The sequence below is a fragment of the Homo sapiens genome, chromosome 19, assembly GCF_000001405.40.
Source record: "Homo sapiens chromosome 19, GRCh38.p14 Primary Assembly".
In the NCBI taxonomy this organism is placed as follows: domain Eukaryota; kingdom Metazoa; phylum Chordata; class Mammalia; order Primates; family Hominidae; genus Homo; species Homo sapiens.
In genome coordinates this window covers 4674603-4695272 of record NC_000019.10, presented here as the reverse complement: position 1 = coordinate 4695272, position 20670 = coordinate 4674603, and the positions used below count along the sequence as shown (strand labels likewise).

The window sequence follows — 20670 nt, the reverse complement described above, 5'->3', positions numbered from 1 at the left end:
CCTTGTGTGGAGAAGTGAGCTCAGGCCTTGGCCATCCCTGGCTGGCAGGGAAGAGGGTCTAGGGGGGTTGGTGAGTCTGGCAGCCATTGGAGCCTCTCCCCTCATCTATTTTTTTCTTTAATTAGAGACAGGGTTGCTCTGTTGCCCAGACTAGAGTGCAGTGGTGTGGTCATAGCTCACTGCAGCCTTGACCTCCTGGGCCTAAGTGATCCTCCCACCTCAGCCTCCAGAGTAGCTAGGACCACAAGCCTGCACCACCATGCCTGGCTAATTTATTTATTTATTTTTAGAGGTGGGGTCTTACTATGTTGTCCAGGCTGGTCTCTGAAATTCCTGGGCTCAAGCAAGTCTCCTGCCCCAGCCTCCCAAACTACTGGGATTACTGGTGTGAGCCACCATGCCCGGCCACCCACACCTTCTGACGCATCTTCTATCTGCTTTCCGGACAGGTTCATGACATCTTCTATCCCTTCCCCCAATCAGAGGGAGAGGACGAGCTCTGCTTTCTCCGCGCCAATGAATGCAAGACCGGCTTCTGCCATTTGTACAAAGTCACCGCCGTTTTAAAATCCCAGGGCTACGATTGGAGTGAGCCCTTCAGCCCCGGGGAAGGTGAGCAGAGCCTGACGAATGCTGTCGACTCATCGCGTTAGTCACGTGTGGTTCAATATGCTGTTTGTTCATTGGTCGGCCCCCCCACTCAGCCAGCACACCCTGCGGGAGAAGGAACAGGGATCGGCAGGAAGCCAGCCTTCCCCAGTGACTGCATGATCTGGCAGGGCTTAGAGCACCCAACTGTTGGCTTATTCAGGCAGCAGATTTACTGAGCACCTCCCCTGTGCCAGGCCCTTAGCACAACCAGGGGTTGGCCACCTACGGCCCACAGGTCAAATCCGGCCCACCACCTGTGTTCATAAATAAAGTTTTATTGGCACTGAGCCACAGCCACTTGTTTACAGAGACTGTCTGTGGTCGCTTTTGTGCTGCAGCAGCAGAACTGGGTAGTCCCAGCAGAAACTGTTGTGCAAGGCCAAGATTTACTGTCTAGCCCTTTGTAGAAACATTTGCCAGCTCCTGCTGTAGGTAGCTGTGATGGAATTGTTCACTGTAAATAAAGAAAAAGGAAAATCCCTGCTCTTGGGACCTTCTAGTGGAGGAGGCAGTATTCCAGAAACAGTTAGAGGTGCTGCCTCTGGTGTGATGTGCGTGGTGGAAGGAAATGCAGTCGGGCGAGAGGCTTGAGGGTGAGGGGCCTTCTTTCTACAACGGGAGGGCATGAGGACGTCTCTGGAGAGCATGCTGTGGAGGTGAGGGGTCCACACCACGGCTCTGGGCAGAGCCACAGCCCGTACAAAGGCCCTGGGGCAGGCAGGACTGTTCCTGGCATGTTGGAGGAATAGGGAGGAGGCCCCTGTGGCTGGAGCACAGGGAGGAGGGGGAGAGAGGGAGGAGAGGGTGGGGAGAGAAAAAGCAGATGGTGCAGGGCCTGCTGGGGCTCCAGGAGGACTTGGGCTTTGACCCCGAGAGAAATAGGAAGTCGTCACCCTCACCTCAGTTTCAGATGACTCCTCTGGTTGCAGCTTGCACACAGGCCCAGGGGCCGGGAGAGGCGACAGGCTTGCTGTCATGGCAGTGGCTGAGCTGTCCTGGTGGGTCTGATTCTGGATGTGCTTGGACAGCTGAGCCCACACCGTTTGCAGTGGAAAGGGTGGGGGATCAGAGAGGAGGGAGGCGGCATGGATGCCCGGAGGGCTCCGCAGGTCCAGTCTAAGACAGACTCAGAGAGGGACTGTTCTAGGAGAGAAAAAATCCAGAGTCGGGTTTGGATGTGTTCAAGTTGAGGTGCCCGGTAGTGGAGATGCTGTATGGGCCAGTTCCCGTGCCTGGAGCTCAGGGAACCGAGACTCCTGGTGGGATTGCAGGTGTCCTTGCACACTGACAGTGTCAGCCTCGGGATGGGACAGAGCTCCCAAGGGTCACTTCTGGATAGAGAGGTGGGGTGGTCCGGGAGCCCGGCCCAGGCTCTTCAAAGTTAGAGCAGGGACACCATGGACGCCAGGGCCGGGTGGTTCTCTGGGGCGGGGCCATCCTGTGCACCAAGTGGCATCCCTGGCCTCCACCCACTCCATGCCAGGAGCACCTCCAGTTGTGACAACCACAGATGTCCCTAGATGTGGTCCGGTGCCCTCTGGGGGCAGAGCCCACACAGCAGCCAAGGCGTCCCCCAACACAGGGGACAGAGACCCCAGGGAGCGAGGCATCCGGGACTGCAGGAGCTGAAGGGCGAATGAGCCAGGGACAGGTGATGCTGTAGGCTGCCACGGAGCTGAGTATGATGCGGACCGGCGGGGTGACAGCTGCCTCAGGCCAGCATCGGGGTCCTCCTGGGTGGGATGCGGCCAGTGCAGACTTACTGGCTAAGCGTCTCAAAGGGGAGCTGTCTTCGGCTCATTGGTGTTTCACTTTCTGTCTGGCTGGCTCAGCCACCGCCATCTGGCATTGGGATTTCATGTAAATGCTCATTTTGCCCCCTGTGGGAAAATGGGCCAGCCCGAGTGCTCACGTTTCAAATGTGGTCTCAAGTGGAGCCAGCTGCAGCTGCCACTCTCCAGGGGCACAGACCCTCCAGGCTGCTGCAGTGCCCCCAGGGACCCCCGGCCTGTGAGGTGGGCACACCAGATTTCCCAGCACCCTGCTCAGCCCCCAGCACACACCATGCATCTCCTAGACAGCAGCTGCATGGCGAGGAGGTGACCCCAAGTGACATTGCATCAGAAGGAACACGTCGGGACGCGGGCAGGAGCCTGGGTCTTGGGGCTGGGTGGGAACCGCTCTCCTCCCCAGGCCCCGATGCCACAAGTAACCACACCCAGACCTCTACGCCAGGGAAACCACATCTGCCCTCCCGTGCTCCTGACAGACACGTTTGCCGTAGCTTGTTTAGACCTAAAAGGTTAGGAAAGGACAGTGAGCCCTCAGTTACAAACCATCTCAGTGTGTTTCTGCTGTGTGCCATGATGCACCCCGCACTGTCATTCTTTACCTGGTGAAAATTCAAACATGAAGTCAACCCTCCTACCCCCCAAAAAAACAATCATAAAACCAGCAGAGCCTTGGTCTCTAGCCCTAGCGCTTTCACCAGCATCTTGTTCCAGCCGGGGATGTGGCTCACACCTGGAATCCCAGCACTTTGGGAGGCCGAGGTGGGAGGATCACTTGAGCCCAGGAGTTTAAGACCAGCCTGGGCAACATAGTAAGACCCTGTCTCTACCCCCTCGCCCCCACAAAAAAAGTCGGCCAGGCGCAGTGGCTCGTGCCTGTAATCCCAGCAATTTGGGAGGCTGAGGCAGGTGGATCACCTGAGGTCAGGAGTTGGAGACCAGCCTGACCAACATGGTGAAACCCCGTCTCTACTAAAAATACAAAATCCAGCCGGGCATGGTGGCAGGTGCCTGTAATCCCAGTTACTCGGGAGGCTGAGGCAGGAGAATCACTTGAACCCAGGAGACGGAGGTTGCAGTGAGCCAAAATCACGCCATTGCACTCCAGCCTGGGCGACAAGAGCAAGACTCCGTCTTCAAAAAAAAAAAAAAAAAAAAAAAGTCTGGTTTTACAAAGTCCTAATGTGTCCTAAGAGGTCATGGGCCCAGTTGGCTCCTCCCCCACACTCCCCGCCCCCCTTCCCGTGCCACACACAGATGTCATGTGGCCTTTGGAGGGTTCTAAAATTGGGAAATTCCAATGAAAATCCAGATTCCTGGTTTCTCTTCCTGTTTTTTGTTTTTTGTTTTTTTTTTTTGAGACGGGTTCTTGTTGTCGCCCAGGCTGGAGTGGCAGTGGTGTAACCATAGCTCACCGCAGCCTCAACCTCCTGGCTCAAGCAGTCCTCCCAGCTCAATCTCCCAAGTAGCTTGGACCACAGGCACACGCCACCACGCCTGGCTAATTTTTCTTTTTTTTTTGGAGAGACAGGGTCTCCCTATGTTGCCCGGGCTGGTCTCAAACTCCTGGCCTCAAGCAATCCTCCTGCCTCGGCCTCCCAAAGTGCTGGGATTTCAGGAGTGAGCCACGGGTCTCCTGGTTTATCGTGGGAAACACTGGGCCTGCCATCCACATGGCAGGAACAGGCCCCGCAGGCTTCCTTGCCCATGTGGCAGGTCTGACGCAGTGGCCTGTGCTGGCGTCTGAGTTCACAGCAAGCCGGGGTTTCAGTGGCTCCATGGTGAGTCTGCTCGGGTGGAATTTGGCCTGGGTGCCTTTGGGCGCCTGCATCACCTCCCAGGCCCCTTCACCTCCCTTCTTTCTTTCTTTCCAGATGAATTTAAGTGCCCCATTAAGGAAGAGATTGCTCTGACCAGCGGTGAATGGGAGGTTTTGGCGAGGCACGGCTCCAAGGTACCAGGGTCTCCTTGCAGCCTTCCCCTGCTCCATGCATGTGTGTTTTACACACATACACTCACACACACACGCACGCGCATACACACACATACACTCACACACATACTCATTCTCACACATACACACACGCACACACACCTGTGAGGACCCTGCTTTACAGCAGTTCGCAGGCCTCAGCACGGTGTCTACCATACACACAAGCCAATCATTTCATCACCTCCCCGTCTCATCTTGAACGTTGTGCCATTCACGTGCTTTATCCTTTCACCCTGAAATTAAGGAAAACATTGGAAGCCTTTTAGAAATCATGAAAGAGGAAGTGTGTCCTCTGCAGGCCGTCTGGGGCCATGCGTCCAGCTGCCTTGTTGTGGGGCATGATGCTCCCCCGACTGGAAGCTTGTGCCCCGCTGTCCCAGGAGACCACTTATCCTCAGTTTCTTCACGTCTTAGGGTCCCTGGTCACCCCACGCTCCAGCTGCCTCCACCGGCCTCTCAGGCCCTGGGCACAGGGGCAATGCCCTCTCCTCCCTCGGGGCTCTGAGGCCTCCCGGCTCCTTTCCAGGCATCAGCCAAAGCCTGCTCGCTCCTGGGCAGCAGCAGTTGTTTCGAGACCATTAGCATCCCAGCACAGGTGAAGGAGGGGCCCCGCTGCTCCACGCAGTGCAGGCTGCCCTCCCACTCCTCCAGGAGACACCACTTCGGGGCCTACTGGGGCTTCCCACAGGAAGGTAGGGCCCTGCCACTTCTGAACCCAAGCACCTGGGTCGGAGGAACGGCTGACCAGGCTGGGGACTGCCGGGTTTCCCTGAGCCTCTGTTTCGGGCACGGTGCCCTCCCTGGCCTTCCCACCTGGCTCTGGTGGGCCCTCCCAATTCAAGCTAGGAAAGAGCTGTCTGGGGGTGGAATGCAGGCCCCAGGTCCCGCCTGAGGACACGCAGTTCCCAGCTCGACCAGGGGCTGCTCCCAGCCCACGGGGCCAGATAAGCGCATCTCTCAGGGATGGTTCATCTCCAGCCCTAAAGCCAGACTTGGGCGAGGACAGCATGCGTCCCCAGTCCGAGGAACATGGGGCCCACTCCTGTGGGGCGTGGAGAGGGGTGTGGGCCCAGGGGCATCTGGGACGCATCACGAGGATCCCCTGTCCCCCTGCAGATCTGGGTCAATGAGGAGACCAAGCTGGTGTACTTCCAGGGCACCAAGGACACGCCGCTGGAGCACCACCTCTACGTGGTCAGCTATGAGGCGGCCGGCGAGATCGTACGCCTCACCACGCCCGGCTTCTCCCATAGCTGCTCCATGAGCCAGGTGGGACCGCCCAGCCTCACGGCACCGCCCTGTGCCCGTCCAACAGCTCCCAGCCAGAGCAGTCCCTCATGGCCCGGCACAGCACTCAGGGTCATTCTCATGGTCTCGCATTCTCATAGCTGCCTTGGGGCAGGCAGTGCCCACCCCTGCCTCCTGGGTAGGGCAGGGAAGGGAGTGAATTGCCCACCACCAATCCCAGGGTAGTAAGTGGTGGAGCCCCCCAGTGCCCGTCCGCTGAGCTGGGGCTCCGCCGCTCTGTGTGCGGTGGGATGTGGCCCTTAGCCTCTCAGAACATTCTAGAATGTCAGGCGGTGGCCATGCAGAGGGCCACCCCTAGTCCAGGGCACGAGTCAGCTGCAGTTTGCCAGCTGTGGAGCCAGCAAGCTTGCAGGCCTGTGCAGTGGCAGAGCCCTCGGCAGATCCAGCGGTCGGTGACTGTCCATAGGCCCCTGGCTGGGGGACAGACTCGTCCTGGCCTCAGTTTCCTGCTCTGCAGAATGGGGCGATGGCAGTGGTGCCCCCCTTGCAGCAGCGGGTGGAGCTTTGAGGTTTCATGACAGGCAGGGGCAGAGGGATGGGGGCGGGCGGGAGGGAAGCTACCCTGGATCTGCGGTCGGCACCCAGTGGAAAGGGCGCAGCGGCATCCCGTGGAGCTCATCACCCCATTCCACCCCCAGAACTTCGACATGTTCGTCAGCCACTACAGCAGCGTGAGCACGCCGCCCTGCGTGCACGTCTACAAGCTGAGCGGCCCCGACGACGACCCCCTGCACAAGCAGCCCCGCTTCTGGGCTAGCATGATGGAGGCAGCCAGTGAGTAGCCCCTGCCCCGCCCCACGGAGGCCTCCGCCCGCCCGGCTGTAAAACGGGACGAGGGCCCCATGCTGGGGAAAGAGGCAGAGGCCTGGAGCTGGCCTGCCTGGCCTCCCACAGCACCCAGGCCCCTCCAAGCATCTGGGAACTCGTCATAGGACATAAGCCACAGCCCCTGCCGTCCGAGACGGTCCTGGGTTCGAGCTGCAGTAAAGGGCCGGACTGCACAGAACCCGGCAGGGATGCAGCTCCGTGCCAACCCCCTGCCAAAATGGTAACCAGTGAGACACAGACCCTGTCACTGGGAGCTCCCAGGGTAGTGGGCAGGTGACAAGTAAACATTTTCATCAGCGGGCACAGTGGCTTCTGCCTGTAATCCCAATGCTTTGGGAGGCCAAGGCAGGAGGATTGCTTGCACGTAGGAGTTTGAGACCAGCCTGAGCAACATAGTAAGAACTCCCTCTACAAAAATGTTAAAAATTAGCCGGGTGTAGTAGTGTGCACATGTAGTCCTAGCTACTCCAGAGACTGAGATGGGGGGGATCATTTGTGCCCAGAAGTCGGAGGCTGCAGTGAAGTGTGATTGTACCACTGCACTTCAGCCTGGGCAACAGAGCAAGACCCTGACTCTAAAAAAAAATTAAAAATTAAAAACATTTTGGGCCAGGCGCGGTGGCTCATGCCTGTAATCCCAGCACTTTGGGAGGCTGAGGCGGGTGGATCACAAGGTCAGGAGATCGAGACCATCCTGGCTAACACGGTGAAACACCATCTCTACTAAAAATACAAAAAATTAGCCGAGCATGGTGGCGGGCGCCTGTAGTCCCACTACTCGGGAGGCTGAGGCAAGAGAATGGCCTGAGCCCAGGACACAGAGGTTGCAGTGAGCTGAGATCGCACCACTGTACTTTAGCCTGGGCGACAGAGCGAGACTCCGTCTCAAAAAAAAAAAACCTTTTGAACAGTGGTGGTCCATGCAGGGGTGGCCGGGATGTCAGAGTCCACCCACACTGGTTTGAAACCCGCCGTGGTTATCAGGCTTTCCACTCACCTTCTCCAGGACCCTGCAGTCCTGGCCACAGCGGCATGCAGAGGGCCCTTTATGGTGTCCTGTGCCCAGAGGCTGCCGCCCACAGCAGCACCTGCTCAGAGCCGACACTCCGAGGCCTTTATCAGGAAAAGGAGCAAAGGGTCAGTCACAGGGGGGCCTCAGGAAATGAGGCAACCTGACACCTTGCCCAGAACCTGGAAGTTGGCCAGGACCCTGCATTGGTGACTCCGGGTTCCAGTGCTGGCTCCGTCACACACATCAGCGTATCACCATGAAGTGTTTCTTTATCAACGAAACTGTATATACAGAGTGTGGGATGAAAACCAGCGGGTCAGCACACTGCTGGGCTCCCAGGCATCACTCAGTACAAGGACAACCCACCCTGGCCCTGTCTCTGCCATGTTGGTGGGTTTCCAGAACATTCTAAACACAACGAATTTCCAGCATATGCGGGGTATTCCGTGGGCTGGAAAGCATTTTGTGATGCCCTCACCCCTGAGCAGAAACAGATCCCAGGCCTCCCTCTAGAGCCCAGTCCTCACTCTCCTGTCCGCACCGACACCGCCAGGAGCTGGAGCCCTGGCTTCAGATGAGGAGATGGGTCAGGGAGGGGAAGGGGCTCAGCAGGGCACCCAGCCTAGCAGTGGGGGCAGAGACCAGAACCTCAGTGCCCTGGGGAACGAGGCACTGTTTCCCGAAACTCCCAATCTGTGCCACGTTTGAAGACTGCCTGCATTAGGAGCAGGCCAACTGCTGCCAAATCCAGCCACGTGCAGTCCCTCTGTGGTCTGTGGCCACATTAGCGCTACCGCAGCAGATGACACAGAGACACAGCACGGAGCGTGTCCCGCCACGCCCAATTCCCAGAGCCCAATATATTTGCTATCTGGCCCTCCACAGTAAACTTCTGCTACCCCTAGACCTGTAGTACCCTTTACTCACCTTCCTATAAATTGCCCCACCAAAATTTACCTACATACATTTATTTAAAGAAAAAACTTTGGGCCAGGTGCAGTGCCTCACGCCTGTAATCCCAGCACATTGGGAGGCCAAGGTGTGCGGGTCACCCAAGGTCAGGAGTTCGATGGCTGGGTGTGGTGGCTCACGTCTGTAATCCCAGCACTTTGGGAGACATAGGTGGGTGGATCACCTAAGGACAGGAGTTCGAGACCAGCCTGGCCAATATGGTGAAACCCCATCTCTACTAAAAGTACAAAAATTAGCCAAATGTGGTGGCGCGCACCTGTAATCCCAGCTACTTGGGAAGATGAGGCAGGAGAATTGCTCAAACCCAGGAGGTGCAAGTTGCCGTGAACCAAGATCGTGCCACTGCATTGCAGCCTGGGTGACAGAGTGAGACTCCGTCTCAAAAAAAAAAAAAAAAAAATACAGTTCGAGACAAGTTTGGCCAACATGGTGAAACCCCGTCTCTACTAAAAATACAAAAACATTAGCCGGGCGTGGTGCCGTGCACCTATAATCCTAGCTACTCAGGAGGCTGAGGCAGGATAATCGCTTGAACCCAGGAAGGCGGAGGTTGCAGTGAGCCAAGATCACAAGACTTTGTCTTGAAAAAAAAAAAGAAGAAAAAGAAAAAAAACAGAAAAACCCCCACCATCCTAATTGGACAACAACTGTTGCTTTGCAAAAATAGCAGTGACCCTACACAGGAGGCCGAGGTGGGAGGATCGCTTGAGGCCAGGAAGTCGAGACCAGCCTGGGCAACAGGGAGACAAGACCCCATCTCTACAAAAACTGTACAAATCTTATTTAATGAAAAAAAAACGTTTTTTTCAATTATCAACTCTCGGGAAGCCCAGGAAAAGAGGGGGTGCTTTGGTCCACCCTCCAAGGCTTGGGGTGGGCAGGAGAACAAGGGTGTCAGCTGGATGTGGCTTCCCCGGGCAGCCAGATAGCCGCCCTGTCTCCCGCAGGCTGCCCCCCGGATTATGTTCCTCCAGAGATCTTCCATTTCCACACGCGCTCGGATGTGCGGCTCTACGGCATGATCTACAAGCCCCACGCCTTGCAGCCAGGGAAGAAGCACCCCACCGTCCTCTTTGTATATGGAGGCCCCCAGGTGAGTGCACACCTGCTCCCCAGGCCCCCACCCCACCATCCACCCGAGGACTCCCCATCCCCACTCAAGTGCCAGCTGTAGAACAGTCAACCAGAGGAGGCTCCCCGGCTACCTGCCTGGTGCCCCAGCCCACCCCGCCTGCCCTGACTACACAGGGTCCTCGGGGCCCCTCACCCTCCTTTCTCTGTGCCCGTTTGCACGCTCCCCGCCCTTCCTGGATGGCCTCCCCTTCCCCCTCCGCCTGCTGACTCTCCCTTGTTCCTCTAGGAAGTCCCCTAGTCTCCAGGTTGGTATGGAGGTGGCCATGGGCCCTGGGCCCAATTCCTGGAGCAGGGGTCAAAAGCAGGCAGCAGATTGGCAGTTGGACCATCTTAGGCGCACATCTTACCCAGAGCAGCTCTGTCCCCACAGAGGATACGGGGCGATGTCTGGGTACTTTGTGGTTCATCACCACTGCGAGTTCTCCTGGCCTGGAGTGGCTTCTCAGCACCCCGCAGTGCCCAGATGGCCCCACCCGAGAAGGAGCCACCCCAATGTCCATCATGCCAGAGTAGTTGTTCCAGGCAGGACTGGGGCAGTGGCCCAGCTGAGAAAGAGCCTGACAGTGGCCCTTCCCCCTCCCTAGCAGGGTCCCGAGTATGGGCCCCTCCCGCCTTGCCACTCCCAGGTGTCCATCCAGAGCCTCCGGGGCACAGGTGCTTTCATTAGGCTCTGAGGCCCCAGCCCGGCCCGGTCCCCAGCCCACCGGCATCTCCCCTGCCAGGCCCGTCCTGCCCGGCATCTCGTGCTGGACTGCTGGCCCTCACCTCCCCACAGGTGCAGCTGGTGAATAACTCCTTCAAAGGCATCAAGTACTTGCGGCTCAACACACTGGCCTCCCTGGGCTACGCCGTGGTTGTGATTGACGGCAGGGGCTCCTGTCAGCGAGGGCTTCGGTTCGAAGGGGCCCTGAAAAACCAAATGGTAACAACTCCTCCCTGTTGCTCTGGGTCCTTTGGGTCTCGGGAAGGGAGCCCTGGGCCGTGTGGGTGCAGGGCATGGGAGCGGCTCTGGAATACCACCCGCAGAAGGGCACTTCTGGCTGGGGTGACGCAGGCTCAATGAGGCGCCCTTTTAGAACAAAAGGGGATGTATGCTTTGCTGCTCAGCTCTGGGCTGCGCCCTGCAGGGACAGAGACAAGTTGTGCTGACACTGGTGATGACGACGGTGGTGATGGCGATCATCTCGGCCCCTTTGCACTGCTGGAACAAAACCCCACAGCCTGGGGATTTATAAAGAACGAAAATCTCTCACAGTTCTGGAGGCTGGGAGGTCCAAGGCCAAGGCAGGGCTGTGTCGGGGAGGGCTGCTCTCTGTTCCCACGAGGTTGCCTGGTCAGCAACCCTCCAGAGAGGCCCTGTGCTGCTTCCTACACGGCAGAGGGGTTGCAAGGAGCGGAAAAGCCGTGGCCTCCCTCCATCAGGCCCTTTTATAAGGGCCCCTCATCCCATTCACATGAGTGGGCCCCATGGATCAGTCGCTTGAAGGCCGCAGTAGTGATCTCAGCACGGACTTCAGAGGGGACACCAGCATTGAAATCGTGGCAGTGGCGGTGGTGGGGATGTGGCTGGTAGTGACAACGGCGATGGCACCAGCCATTCTTTGTGCCCTTGCACATGCCTGGGCACCCGTCTTTTTCTTCCTTGTGCCCTCTAGAAAATGGGTCCTCTTCCTGTTAATGTCCCTTTATTAGGGATGGGCAAACTGACGCCCTCAGAGGGGACGTGGCTCCCAGAGCCACTCACCTGGGAGGTGGCAGAGCAAGATGGCTGCTGGATCTGTCCAGCCATCCCCAGATAGCAGGCAGGGTTAGCAGGGCCTGGAAGGACAGGGGGCTTCCAGCGAGCCACTTTTCATCCAAGAGGGAGAGACGCCCTGAAAGGAGCAGAGGTGTCACTGCAGGGGAGGGACATACCGGGAGGAGGCCACTGAGAGGTGCCCGGCTTCATCCCTCAGGGCCAGGTGGAGATCGAGGACCAGGTGGAGGGCCTGCAGTTCGTGGCCGAGAAGTATGGCTTCATCGACCTGAGCCGAGTTGCCATCCATGGCTGGTCCTACGGGGGCTTCCTCTCGCTCATGGGGCTAATCCACAAGCCCCAGGTGTTCAAGGTGGGTCCCACCCCTGGCCGGCCTCAGCCACGCCCCTCCCTGCCCCCTTCCCCATCTACGCCGCGTTTGCCCACCGCCCGCGCCACCCGGAGCCCACCTACCGGGGAGGCGCCTCGGCAGGGGCCTTGCCACGTGGCTGTTTCTCCCTGCAGCAGCCCCACGGGGCCGAGCCCCCCTCCTCATTGCCCGCCACCGCCGACCGCAGGATGGCATCCGGCTGCACAAAACCCCGCCAGCAGCTCTCTGTGGGAGGCTGAGCCCGGGACCCCGGCCTCGGATGGGCAGAGGTGGGGCATGGTGTGCAGAGCGGCGGGGGGGCCCCAGGCCGGCGGCAGTCAGGGCACTGCGGGGCGGCGGCGATGAGGAGGAGGAGGAGGCAGACGGGCAGTGGGACCCGGCCCTCTGCGGCGGCGGGGAGGGGCCGCACCTGCCCGCCTGTGGCGCCCTGCCCACCCCCATGCCACGCACCGTCCACGGGGGCCACGCGGTCTGAGGGCCCCTTCCTTGCCGGCCCCATGTGCATGAGCGCTCCTCACGGGCTCCAGGGCGGCCCCGGGACAGCGGCTGATGCTGGCTGTAGGACCCGACGCCTGTTTCTCTCTCTCTCTCTGCCCCCATCTGTCTGCTGTGTCCCTCAGGTGGCCATCGCGGGTGCCCCGGTCACCGTCTGGATGGCCTACGACACAGGGTACACTGAGCGCTACATGGACGTCCCTGAGAACAACCAGCACGGCTATGAGGCGGGTTCCGTGGCCCTGCACGTGGAGAAGCTGCCCAATGAGTAAGGCCACTGCCCTGCCCTGCGCTCCTCCCCGGGGCTTCTCCTGCACCCCGGCACCAGCTGTCTCTATGAGGGTGCCCTCCTGCCCCAGCTGGCCCTGCCCAGGGAGCCTCAGGCCATGTGGAGCCTCCCCGCTGTGCTCCTGTGGTGGCGTCTGCCTGCATGTGCCTCACAGTCCCCTCCAGCCCACCCTCCCTCCTCACTGCACCTTGCAGGAAGGGGCACCCAGGGATGCTTGTCTGGGGAAGGAGGCTCACAGCCCTGCCCTGGGAAAGATGAGGGAATTCGAGTCACTGCTTTTCACAGGCAAGCCTCCCCCACTCCCCTGCATCCTGCTGGAGGCCCCATCACAGCCTCTGTCTTGTGCTTCAGGACATAGATGTCCACAGGGCCAGGGACCAGCTCAGATGTCCCATTTTATGCTTTTGACATGGGTCTTATTCTCTGATGGAGAGAAAACAGTGTTCCCATTTTCTGGCACGTCTCCAGAAAATGTTCCCCGGAATCCCATGCAGTCACCTAGGGGGTTAAAAATCTGCCTGGGCATGGGCCGGGCGCGGTGGCTCACTCCTGTAATCCCAGCACTCTGGGAGGCTGAGGCGGGCGGATCGTGAGGTCAGGAGATTGAGACCATCCTGGCTAACAAGATGAAACCCCGTCTCTACTAAAAATACAAAAAATTAGCCGGGTGTGGTGGCGGGTGCCTGTAGTCCCAGCTATATGGGAGGCTGAGGCAGGAGAATGGCGTGAACCCGGGAGGCGGAGCTTGCAGTGAGCCGAGATCGTGCGCCACTGCACTACAGTCTGGGCGACAGAGCCAGACTCCAATTCAAAAAAAAAAAAAAAAAAAAAAGTCTGCCTGGGCACTTTGGGAGGCCAAGGCAGGAGGATTGCTTAAGGTAGGAGTTCGAGACCAGCCTGGCCAACATGGTGAAACCCCGTCTCTACAAAAAAATACAAAAAATAAGCTGGGCATGGTGGTGCATGCCTGTAATGCCAGCTACTTGGAAGGCTGAGGCAGGAGAATCGCTTGAACCCAGGAGGTGGAGTTGGTAGTGAGCGAACATCGTGCCACTGCACTCTAGCCTGGGCAACAGAGAGAAACTGTCTCAAAACAATAATAATAATAATAGGCCAGGAACGGTGGCTTCAGGAGTTCAAGACCAGCCTAGCCAACACGGTGAAACCCCATGTCTACTAAAAATATAAAAATTAGCCAGGTGTGGTGACACACACCTGTAATCCCGGCTACTCAAGGAGGCCGAGGCAGGAGAATTGCTTGAACCTGGAAGGGTGAGGTCGCAGTGAGCTGAGATCGCACCACTGCACTCCAGCCTGGGCAACAGAGCGAGACTCTGTCTCAAAAAATAATAATTTATTGTGGTGAAATTCACAGAACCTAACAGTCACCTTAAAGCAGCCCTCGGTGCATTTGCAGTGGTTCCAGAACCTTTCCAGCACTCCAGCGTCAAACCCTGTTCCCATTCCTTAGCAGTCACTCCCTGTCCCGGGGCAGCCACCGATCTGTGCTCTGTCTCAATGGGTTTATAAGTTCCGTTAATTTGGATGAATGTAAACTGGAATTTCAACGGCGACGTGTGGCCACTGGCTCCCGTATCGGACAGGAAGGGCTAGGGCAGCCGATTCTGGTGAGGCTGCGTGTTGGCCTCACCAGTAGCCCATGCCACACTCCAGACCACAGACAGCAGCAGACCTAGGTGGGTTTTTGTTTTGTTTTGTTGAGAGAGTCTCACTCTGTGGTCCCGGCTGGAGTGCAGTGGCTTAATCTCAGCTCACTGCAACCTCCACCTCCCAGGTTAAAGCAATTCTCGTGCCTCAGCCTCCTCAGTAGCTGGAATTACAGGCATGCACTACCACACCCAGCTAATTTTTGTATCTTTAATAGAGATGGGGTTTCACCATGTTGCCCAGGCTGGTCTTGAACTCCTGGCCTCAAGTGATCCACCTGCCTTGGCCTCCCAAAGTGCTGGGATTACAGGTGTAAGCCACCATGCTCAGCATTTTTTTTTTTTTTTTTTAATCATAGCTCACTGCACCCTCCCAGGGTTTAGGTGATCCTCCTGCCTCAGGCTCAGCTGGGACCACAGGTGTGCACCACCACGCCTGGCTAACTTTTAAATATTTTTGTAGAGATGAGGTTTTGCCATGTTGCCCAGGCTGGTCTCAAACAACTGGACTCAATCCACCCAGCTTGGCCTCCCAAAGTACTGGGATTACAGGCATGAGGCACTGCACCCGGCCTGGGTTTTTGTTTTTGTTTTTCTAATTTAGAGATGGGGTCTTGCTCTGTCACCCAGGCTGGAGTGCAGTGGTATGATCATAGCTCACTGTAGCCTCCACCTCCTGGGCTCAAGTGATCCTCCCGCCTCAGCCTGCACAGTAGCTGGACTTACAGGCGCACCACTACACTCAGCTGATCTTTTTTTTTTTTTTTTTTTTGAGATGCTGTCTCCATCTGTCGCCCAGGCTGGAGTGAGTGGCGCGATCTCAGCGCACTGCAACCTCTGCCTCTGAGGCTCAAGCAGTTCTCCTGCCTCAGCCTCCCAAGTAGCTGCGATTTCAGGCACCTGCCACCATGCCTGGCTAATTTTTTTTAAATATATTTTTAGTAGAGACAGGGTTTCACCATGTTGGCCAGGCTGGTCTCAAACTCCTGACCTTGTGATCTGCTCCCCTCCTACCCCACGGACAATCCCTGGCCTCAGACCCTTCCCCATCTGTTTTCCAGGCCCAACCGCTTGCTTATCCTCCACGGCTTCCTGGACGAAAACGTGCACTTTTTCCACACAAACTTCCTCGTCTCCCAACTGATCCGAGCAGGGAAACCTTACCAGCTCCAGGTGGGTGGCTGTTGGGGGCTTCGGCCCCTCCGCGAGCCGACAGATCCCTGGGAGTGGGGGGTGGGACGAGGCGGGGTGGCTTCCCACTGTGACCAGGGGCTCCCTGGGGGATCTGGGGCTCCCAGCCCCCCACCCCACAGCCCTGTGTCCCCGCCCTCCCAGCTCCCAGGGCCATTGATGTATCAGTCCTGTCTTGACAGCTCAGGGTTCCGCCTGCCTTCGGTGCTGGAAGCACGGGATCGGGGGCTGCCACACCCACCCCTGCTCCGGGCCTAATGGAGGGAGGAACCCTTACCGAAATTGCCCCGCAGACGGGCTTTATTTGAAACTGAGAAATTGCGTAGAAGAAACCGCTGAGTGCTGAAGGCCCTAGCAGGCTCCTTCCTAAGGCGCTGGGGCCAAGCATTCCCTGAGGAGGCAGCAGTGAAGGGTGCTAGAGTGAGTGGAGCCAGCCAGGCTTGGGGGACCGAGCGGGAGGAGAGTGGGGGAGTGGGTGGAGCCTTGGCAGCAACGTGGGGCTCAGTCTAGGTGGGCGGGGCTTCTGCGCTAAGGGGTGGGCATGGTTATGGGCGGGGCCTCAATGGCGAGGAGGGTGGGACTTCTGCAGAGGGACGGGGCTTCAGTGTTACGGTGGGTGGGGCTTCCGCAGTAAATGGTTGGCCTCGGTGTGGGGAAGGGCCTCGGTAGTGGAGAGGGTGGGGCTCGGTGTGGGAGCAGCGCCTCAGCGGTGAGGAGGGTGGGGCTTCTGCTGTAGAGGAGGGGGGGCCCTCAGTAAGCAGGGTGGAGCTTCTGCTATAGAGGGGTGGGGCCTCAGCGGGGGCGGGGCTTCGGCTGGATTTTCAACTGAGGGTGGTGGGAGGTGACTCGGGCTTGTGAGCAGAGCATAGAGTTGGGCGGCTTGCCATTTGACCCACATTTCTCTGGCTGCTTTGTGGATGGCCTGTGGGGGACAGTGGGACGTGGTCCATAGTTGTACCGGCGGGAGATTCAGGAGGTATCTTGGAGGCAAGAGGGCCAGGTTTTATTACCTGTGGACTGCAGACAATTTCTGCTTCCTGGGCGCCTCGGCATGCTCTGTCCTGTGGGGAGCGTCCTGTTGCCTTTCAACAGAGCAGGGAAATGGGGCCGCAGAGCAGGAGGGAGGCAGAGCCACCTTGTGCGGTGATGAGCTGATCTCTTGGCGGTGCCCCCCACCGACACCCCACATCCCAAGCAGCCCAGGGAGTGATATCAGGCAGGGCTGGAATGGAACTTCAGATGTCTCTTCCCAGCCTGAGACCCGAGCCCACTGCCTTCCCAGGGGCCAGGTAGCTGGGACAGCATTCACCCTTGCACCTCGTTTCTCCGTCTTTGAAACGGTCATGATAACTCGGCCTCCTTGAAGGCTGCTGGGGCCAAACAAGGTCTTCAGAAAAGCATTCAGGCCGGGCGTGGTGGCTCACGCCTGTAACCCCAGCACTTTGGGAGGCTGAGGCGGGTGGATCACTTGAGGCCAGGAGTTTGAGACCAGCCTGGCTAACATGGCAAAGCTCCGTCTCTACTAAAAATACAAAAATTAGCCGAGTGTGGTGGCACACGCCTGTAGTCCCAGCTACTCGGGAGGCTGAGGCAGGAGAATCGCTTGAACCTGGGAGGCGGAGGTTCCAGTGAACCGAGATTGTGCCACTGCACTCCAGCCTGGGCGGCAGAGGGAGACTCCGTCTCAAAAGAAAAAAAAAAAAGAAAAGAAAGAAAAAAGAAAAGCATTCAGCACACAGGGTGGGCCCAGGGTCCTGTCTCACTGCCTCCCCACAGGAAGTAGAACGTGAGATGAGATAGGCTGTGGGGTGGGAACATGGCATTGTGTGGGACAGATAGAGTGCACCTCTCCTTCTGTTTCAAAGACCCCAAAACATCTGGGCCAGGCAGCTGGCGGCCCCAGGCCCTCTTTATACACAAATCACATTTGTCACATGCCGGGCCTTGGGCTTGGTCTGGAAGCTCATTGGGGAGCCAGACAGACCCTCTATCTGCCCTCTTAGCCAAGAGGAAAAAGTAACCAGGCAGCTGGGACCCAGAGTGGCATAAAGGCATGGGCACAACATGTGCATATGGCTGGTGTCAAGGGCAGCAGAGTCTGCCCCAGGGAGTGCCACTGCCCGGGCTGGGGAAGGAGTGGGCCCTTGAAGTGCCTGGGGCAGCAGGACCTGGAAGCTGGTCTTGATGTCAGACTGGCAAGTCCTTGCAGAGGTCTAGGCTGGGGACGGTGTCATCAAACTCGTGATTCATCCAGGGATGGATTAAAGAAGGCAAGAGTAGAGGAGGGGAAACCAGTGGGTGGCTTGGTGCATTCCCAGGGTGATGGGCAACAGTGGGGACCAGGAGCCTGGAGAGGAGGGGATGATTCAGAAACCCATCTCACTGGCAGGAGGTGGCGTAGATGGGCCACCTGCCCCTGCTGCCGGCCAGCCCCGGGGTTCTTTGTGGAGAACGTAGGGTTATTTTCATGCCTTGGTCCTACCAACCCCTAGGGGGCAGTGGGGAGCTATAGGGGTTGTCCGTCAGTGCCTCGAGAGCCCTCCTTCGTGGCCAGAGGCAGGACCTGCATCCCCGTGTGGATCCACCCCCAGGCCTGGCGTTGGCTGGTCCAGGTCTCAGGAGCCTGGGGAGTTCCATGTTACTGCCTGCCTCTTGGCTTGATCCCCCTTGGGCGCTAAGAGGACCCAGAAAATGCTTCACAAATCCTCACAGGCAGCTGTCCTAAGGCCCAGAGCTAGTCACATGCCTTTTGGTAAAGTGGAAATGGCTCGAGACCAGGGCACCAGATGTCCCTGAGGCTTGAAGCCTCAGCCACCTCCACAGAGATGAGTTGGTCGCCCGTCAGCCGGTTTGGGGGAAAGAGGCAAACGGTTTCTTCCTAAATCTTTCCTCTGTGCAAGCGCGTGCACACCGCAAGGCGTTTTGTAAACTTTGTCTTACCAAATCCTCCCAAAGACTGTGAGGTCCGGATTCACCCCATTTTTTAGAGAGGCCCAGAGTTACACTGCAAGTCAACAGCCGAGGTGGGATTCAAACCCAGATCACTGGGCCTCAGAGCACCTGCGCCTTCCCGGATGCCCTGAGCCAGAATAAGGGAGGAGCCTAGGACACGGGGGTGGTCCGGCCACGCCCCCCAGCCCTGCCTCCTGTCTCCCCGCAGATCTACCCCAACGAGAGACACAGTATTCGCTGCCCCGAGTCGGGCGAGCACTATGAAGTCACGTTGCTGCACTTTCTACAGGAATACCTCTGAGCCTGCCCACCGGGAGCCGCCACATCACAGCACAAGTGGCTGCAGCCTCCGCGGGGAACCAGGCGGGAGGGACTGAGTGGCCCGCGGGCCCCAGTGAGGCACTTTGTCCCGCCCAGCGCTGGCCAGCCCCGAGGAGCCGCTGCCTTCACCGCCCCGACGCCTTTTATCCTTTTTTAAACGCTCTTGGGTTTTATGTCCGCTGCTTCTTGGTTGCCGAGACAGAGAGATGGTGGTCTCGGGCCAGCCCCTCCTCTCCCCGCCTTCTGGGAGGAGGAGGTCACACGCTGATGGGCACTGGAGAGGCCAGAAGAGACTCAGAGGAGCGGGCTGCCTTCCGCCTGGGGCTCCCTGTGACCTCTCAGTCCCCTGGCCCGGCCAGCCACCGTCCCCAGCACCCAAGCATGCAATTGCCTGTCCCCCCCGGCCAGCCTCCCCAACTTGATGTTTGTGTTTTGTTTGGGGGGATATTTTTCATAATTATTTAAAAGACAGGCCGGGCGCGGTGGCTCACGTCTGTAATCCCAGCACTTTGGGAGGCTGAGGCGGGCGGATCACCTGAGGTTGGGAGTTCAAGACCAGCCTGGCCAACATGGGGAAACCCCGTCTCTACTAAAAATACAAAAAATTAGCCGGGTGTGGTGGCGCGTGCCTATAATCCCAGCTACTCGGGAGGCTGAGGCAGGAGAATCGCTTGAACCCGGGAGGTGGAGGTTGCGGTGAGCCAAGATCGCACCATTGCACTCCAGCCTGGGCAACAAGAGCGAAACTCTGTCTCAAAATAAATAAAAAATAAAAGACAGAAAGCAAGGGGTGCCTAAATCTAGACTTGGGGTCCACACCGGGCAGCGGGGTTGCAACCCAGCACCTGGTAGGCTCCATTTCTTCCCAAGCCCGAGCAGAGGGTCATGCGGGCCCCACAGGAGAAGCGGCCAGGGCCCGCGGGGGGCACCACCTGTGGACAGCCCTCCTGTCCCCAAGCTTTCAGGCAGGCACTGAAACGCACCGAACTTCCACGCTCTGCTGGTCAGTGGCGGCTGTCCCCTCCCCAGCCCAGCCGCCCAGCCACATGTGTCTGCCTGACCCGTACACACCAGGGGTTCCGGGGTTGGGAGCTGAACCATCCCCACCTCAGGGTTATATTTCCCTCTCCCCTTCCCTCCCCGCCAAGAGCTCTGCCAGGGGCGGGCAAAAAAAAAAGTAAAAAGAAAAGAAAAAAAAAAAAAAGAAACAAACCACCTCTACATATTATGGAAAGAAAATATTTTTGTCGATTCTTATTCTTTTATAATTATGCGTGGAAGAAGTAGACACATTAAACGATTCCAGTTGGAAACATGTCACCTGCCTGAGGTTCCTTCTAAGTCCTGGGGCTCCTGAGTGGGAGGGGCTTCCGGGGGGCAACAGACAAGACATGGCAGAAGGGCACTGCCATCTGTGGGGACTCCTGGGGTGCTGGGGCTGCCTGGGCACCATGCCCTGATCAGACTGACCCACAGAGGATGGCCCCAGCCACCTGATGAGGGTAGTCCTGTCCTCGCTGGTCTAGGAAGGTCTACCGGTCTCCAGGGACTCAGCTCTGGCTGTCGTGTGTGGCCTGGACTGGCCCCCCGGGCTCCCCAGAGCCTCAGCACAACCCAAATTACAGCATCCTCCATGCTGGATCCTCCCCCAGCCAACACCTCCTTTTCTACCTGAGACTCTGCACCCTGAGGACCACGACAGGCCAAGGCCCTCCTCACATCGTCCCAGCAGCCAAGACACCCAGCAGACCCTGTTTGCAACGTGCGGGGCATGTGGGCTCCATTTCTAACAGCAGGGATGGACTGCCCTGCTTATCCACTTGCTCCATCCTTTGGAAATTTCCACTTTTTTTAAAAAAAAAAAAAGGGGGGGGGGGGCTTAAAAAAACATACGAGGCCGGGCGTGGTGGCTCACACCTGTAATCCCAGCACTTTTGGATG

General features: G+C 58.1%; 1 protein-coding gene and 1 long non-coding RNA gene across 45 annotated transcripts in view, besides 3 other annotated features; one reads left to right on the top strand and one right to left on the bottom strand.

The window, feature by feature from the left end:
- The window catches only part of DPP9 (dipeptidyl peptidase 9), a 48616-nt gene extending 28570 nt beyond the window's left edge, over positions 1 to 20046 (top strand). For 17 of the 44 annotated variants that reach the window (NR_169285.1, NR_169287.1, NM_001384615.1 and 14 more), the window contains 10 exons: positions 450 to 612; positions 4316 to 4395; positions 5551 to 5703; positions 6381 to 6516; positions 9502 to 9647; positions 10464 to 10610; positions 11644 to 11796; positions 12435 to 12577; positions 15327 to 15438; positions 18617 to 20046. Coding sequence is in view for 33 of the 44 variants with exons in the window: in NM_001384615.1 (NP_001371544.1) it covers positions 450 to 612; positions 4316 to 4395; positions 5551 to 5703; positions 6381 to 6516; positions 9502 to 9647; positions 10464 to 10610; positions 11644 to 11796; positions 12435 to 12577; positions 15327 to 15438; positions 18617 to 18709 (1326 nt within the window). In the remaining 11 variants the exon portion in view is untranslated. Of the gene's footprint in view, positions 1 to 449; positions 1133 to 4315; positions 4396 to 5550; positions 5704 to 6380; positions 6517 to 9501; positions 9648 to 10463; positions 10611 to 11643; positions 11797 to 11948; positions 12084 to 12434; positions 12578 to 15303; positions 15439 to 18616 lie in introns of those variants that run through there. The other 27 variants (NR_169292.1, NR_169288.1, NM_001384635.1 and 24 more) reach the window with 13 other exon arrangements.
- Positions 23 to 1222: an enhancer, noted in NCBI's record as "P300/CBP strongly-dependent group 1 enhancer chr19:4694063-4695262 (GRCh37/hg19 assembly coordinates)". NCBI's record gives its function as "activates an origin of replication core promoter dependent on BRD2, BRD4, P300/CBP, MED14 and CDK7 cofactors, with strong dependence on P300/CBP, by STARR-seq in HCT116 cells {active_cell/tissue: HCT116}" and the evidence as "EXISTENCE:reporter gene assay evidence [ECO:0000049][PMID:35650434]".
- Positions 9325 to 15991, bottom strand: DPP9-AS1 (DPP9 antisense RNA 1). The gene is made up of 3 exons (NR_164163.1): positions 15734 to 15991; positions 11898 to 12472; positions 9325 to 11562 (listed from the first exon to the last, which is right to left on the bottom strand). It is a non-coding gene; the product is annotated as a DPP9 antisense RNA 1 (long non-coding RNA).
- Positions 15183 to 15684: an enhancer, noted in NCBI's record as "H3K4me1 hESC enhancer chr19:4679601-4680102 (GRCh37/hg19 assembly coordinates)". NCBI's record gives its function as "activates a minimal SCP1, AML or CMV promoter by ChIP-STARR-seq in naive H9 embryonic stem cells {active_cell/tissue: H9 hESC(naive)}" and the evidence as "EXISTENCE:reporter gene assay evidence [ECO:0000049][PMID:30033119]".
- Positions 18342 to 19302: an enhancer, noted in NCBI's record as "H3K27ac-H3K4me1 hESC enhancer chr19:4675983-4676943 (GRCh37/hg19 assembly coordinates)". NCBI's record gives its function as "activates a minimal SCP1, AML or CMV promoter by ChIP-STARR-seq in naive H9 embryonic stem cells {active_cell/tissue: H9 hESC(naive)}" and the evidence as "EXISTENCE:reporter gene assay evidence [ECO:0000049][PMID:30033119]".
- Positions 20047 to 20670: the final 624 nt, after the last annotated feature.